Source organism: Homo sapiens, chromosome 6 (genome assembly GCF_000001405.40).
Source record: "Homo sapiens chromosome 6, GRCh38.p14 Primary Assembly".
Lineage (NCBI taxonomy): Eukaryota > Metazoa > Chordata > Mammalia > Primates > Hominidae > Homo > Homo sapiens.
Window position 1 is genome coordinate 94,526,835 of NC_000006.12, and position 4,744 is coordinate 94,531,578.

The following is a 4,744-nucleotide window of genomic DNA, read 5'->3' on the forward strand; positions in this document are numbered from 1 at the left end:
GGTGAAGACTGCAGCACATTTATGACCTCACCTTGGCAGTAACACACTGTAATTTCTTTCTTATTCTATTGGTCAAGCCAGCCCCAAATGAATGGAGAGACTAAACAAGGGCAAAAATAATATGAGACAAACATCATTGAAATTAAGATTCACAGATCCTAACATATTCTTTTGCTATTGTTAGTGCATAATTTTAACATTTATGATTCTACATTACATTGGGCTATCCTTTTATTTCTTATGGGATGCTTCTTAAGATGGTGTTATATCAACCTTACAAAATTACTTTGCTATATTTCTGAATTTTCAGTTTAGTGCAGCATATTTGTTACCTGACAAATTGTATAAATCCATCATGAGAACAGGTAATTTAAACCTATGTCTCTCAAACACGGTGAGATCAAACAGAAGAAAACAGAGAGTGATAACAAAGATTAGTTGGAAAATATAATTATCAAGCTGGATAATTATGTATAGAAATCTGCATTTAACAATTATAAATTAAACTTCGCATATTCTCAAAAAGGAACATGCATTGGTTACGATATTAATTAATTAGCTATATTTTATATAGCTCTTAATACAGGCCAGAACCTGTTCAGAAGTCTGTATATATATTAGGTCATTTAATTCTCACAAATAACCCATATTTCTACTATATTCATTTTACAGAATATATATCTAAAGAAGAGATGATTGAAAGGTATGTAACTATTAAGTGAACATGATTACTATTAAATCTACCATTTTCACTCCAGAATCTGGGTAGTTAATGAATGCTATATGACCTCTCAAATAGTGACTCTCAACAAATAAATAAATACTTAATGAACTATCCAAAATGGTTTTTGAAAATATAATATAATCAAAGCACAATTATTAAAGAGGATAAAAAAAATTGAAATCACCATTTATTTGAAAAATCTAAAGATACCCATAAGTAATGTGTGCTTAAAAGAGAGATCATAGTGAAAATCAAAAATAATACTATTTGGAATTGAATGATAATAAAACTAAATATACATTTGTGAAATTGAAAAATATATATATTTGAGATAAATGTATACCCTTAAAACTTATGTTAGATAGTAAGAACATTGAAATTTAGTAAGTTAAAAGGCCATATTAAGAAGTTAGAAAATCATAAATAGACTAAATACACAGAAGGATGATTAGATGACAAAAAATTGGAGTCAAATATCAATGAAATAGAAAACCAATAAGCAATATAGAGGATAAAATTTGTGTGTTTTTTTGCTGTATTTATAAAGAGGAGAGAAATATAACAACCTACAATATTGGATTTGAATGACACCTATCCTCGAGTAGATGTCTCAAGAAGTGTTGATAGGTGTAGAATTTCAGCATTACTTATGCATTGAAAACTGTTTTAAATGGTTAAATAATGTATTTGGGAGAATGTAGCTGTATATAAAATCTTTAGAGCACATTTTCTTGAAGTTCTTTAGAAAATTATTCACTATTATTGTTTACCCTGTAAATTGGTCTTGGAATGCTAGTATACAATTTTTTGCCATCCAGTCTTTTTTCCTGGAAGCTTTGAAGATTTTTGCCTTTGAAAAGTAACAGTTTTATTATTATAGTTCTCAGCATTGATTGTTCAGAGTTAATTTTCCAGAGTATCTGGTGAGCCCTTTCAATGTGTATATTCAGACTTTGTTGTATTTCTGAAGTGTTGTTTTGCACTATAGTTTTAAATATTAGTTCTGTTTCATTGTTTTGTTTTTTATCAAAGATTCCAAAATAGCGTGAATATTATTTTTCTATGCAGGTGTTCCATATTCATATTTATTTTTTGACTTTTTAAATCTCTTCCCTGTTTTATCTTGATTATTTTCCTGTTTCTTCAATGTTTCTTACTAAATTTTCATTTGAGTCTTGTCTCCCTTGAGCACAAACTAATTCACTTTTATTTAGCTGAGTTAAATTTGTCTTCTTCCATTTCTTTCCTAAGTTATCTTTTTTTCCTAAAATTTCCATTCTGCTATTAAATCAATTTTTTCGTATACCTTATAGGTTTAAAATATTTATTTGATTTCTGTTATAATTATATTTGTTTTCTAAGATAATTTTCTTTTCATTAATTATGAATGTATTTTACTTTGATCATCATTTTAATATCTATATTAAAGTTCTTGCCTGTCAATTCTATCATATGGTTATTATCATGGCTGGCATCTGTTGATTGTCTTTTTCTTTGACAGTAGATGGCATTTTCCTGGATCTGCACATATTTAGTAATTTTAGATTATATCTGTAGATAATGAAAACTGAAAATTCTGTTATATTCCTCTGAAGTATTTATTTTTATTTGTCTTCTGTAGAAAATTAACTGATATGTGTTCAAACTGAAAACTCTAGTATGCTTATAGTGAGTGGCTAACATTGTTTGAATGTGCCTGTTAATTCTTAGTTCAAAGGCCATTAAATAACCAGGATACTCCTTAAAACCATATTTGTGCTCCTATTCTCTTTCTCCTTTTTGGTTCCTTTCTCCTTCTTTAATAGCTTAAAATGTTAAGCCTCCCCTGTCCAGAAACATACTGGGCTTTCTATTACATTTTTACATTTTTAGCTACCCCAAATCCTTGTCTTGGTTGTTGCTGTCAGTGGAAAATATAAGAAAAGAAGGAAAGAGAGAGAGAGGAAGGAAGGAAGGAAGGAAGGAAGGAAGGAAGGAAGGAAGGAAGGAAGAAAGGAAGGAATGTTACTGCATACCTGGTTGTTTCCTCTAAGTTTTAACTTCCTTTAAAATCTGCCTGCATTTTGTTATTATATTATATATTTGTTTTAACTTGAGTTTACAGCTGGTATCAACAACATTTATTTATCAGTTTCATACTCTGTAATAACAGAAAAACGCCTCTATGGACTTTTTTTAAGAAATTGTTTATTCTTTCTGTTCTGAGTGGATAAATCTACTAATTTGCCACTAAACTAACCAACCTATTTTATTTATTGCAATTTTCAGTTTGCTGTTATCCCTTCCAGTAACTTTTCCATTTCAGATATTTTATTTTAGTTCAACAATTTCTGTTTGGTTCCTTTTGGTAGTTTTTCTTTTTTTGCTGAGATTTCTCATCTGTTCACTTATTTGGACTATCATTTTCTTTAAGTCCTTAAATATTTTTACTTAGCTGCATTAAAGTTTTTTCCAGCTACTTAAAATGAATACACCAATTTAAGTCGTTTTCTACTTTTTGTCCATATCTCTTGTTTATGAGATATATTTACCTACTTCTTTGCATGTCAAGTAGTTTCGGTTATGCAGTAGAGATTATATATGGTCTATTATAGATAATCTAGATTTCTTACCCTCTTCTGAAGTGTATTGATTTTTTGTTCCAATAGGTAATAAAGTAGTTTTGGTACTCTTTTCCGTTTAGTTAAAAAATGTTTGGAAAAATTTAGTAAAAAAATCTAAGGAAAATCCCTTAGATTTTGGACATAGTCTTTACTCCAAAAATTGAGCCTCAGTGGAAAGCCTGAGGTGTTTACCAGCTGCCTATAACTTGACAAGTCTCAAACTCACATTTCAGTTACTCCTGCATTGGATACAGCTTAGATCTCTGCTCAGAAGTTTCAGAATTGCAGCTGACTCATGCTTTCCAGTAAGTCCTTACAAGTATCCCCAACATATACAAAATGCAAGACTCAGTCAAGGTTTGGGGTGTACATTGTATGTAGATTTTAGAGTTCCCAATCTGTGTCAGATTCTTTCCCAGGATTTTTCCATAAATCTCCAGCCACATTGACAATGTTTAAGCCCATGCTCTCCTTCACAAAGAAAGAAGGCTGTAGTTTTCTACTTGAGTTCTTGATATTTGTGCAATACTAAATGTGGCACTAAAAGTGCCCTCAGAAGAAAAGTCTGTGAAAAAGAGTATTGCTCAAAGTAGTTAATTTCTTACATGGGCCAAGTCCTTTCCATGTCTATCTCAATCTCCTTTTGGCCAGTCTCCAGTTTCTTTAGAAAGGTGATTGGTTTCTGTTGTGTTTTCTTTTTTGTTTCTGTATTTTCTCAAGCTTTTAAATTGTTATCTGTAGGATAGTTAATCTAATACAAGCTACTATACCATTTCTGGAATAAGAACCCTTTCTATTTTATTTTGTATTTATTAACATACATCTGCAAAATAAGTAAACACAAACATTAGGAGCAAAGAAGTATGATAATGTATTACAATAAAGCATATTAAAAATAATGGGACACATTAAAAAGTTGTCATTATAATTGTAGGTCCAAGAGAATTTGTCAATTGATTAGTTGTACATTTGTTTGTCAGCTTGAGATTTTATTAATAGATACACCTTTCCCTTTATACAGATGCTTTTCTGAGTAAATGTTAACTAGAACAATTTCATAACTTGATATTCTGTTGAAATATTCCTACTTCAATGTACCTTGAACTTCCTTTGCTTATAATTGGTTTCATGGACTTATAGGATCTTAAAATTAGAAGGAACTCTTCTTACCACTTACAGCCCAATCTCCCACCCAGTGCAAGGAATCTTCTCCTTAACAAACAATCATTCAAACTCAGATTGAATACTATCAATGATAGAGTGTTCATTATTCTGCTTTCTCTCAGACACAGATGCAAACACGATATTCTGTGAAAGACACACAGTGGAAAAGGACAGGTTCCTCCTTATCCAAATTTCTGCAGAGTTAGTTAGCTGTATTTGACAACTTAATTTCAATTCTTAGCTAACCAATGTT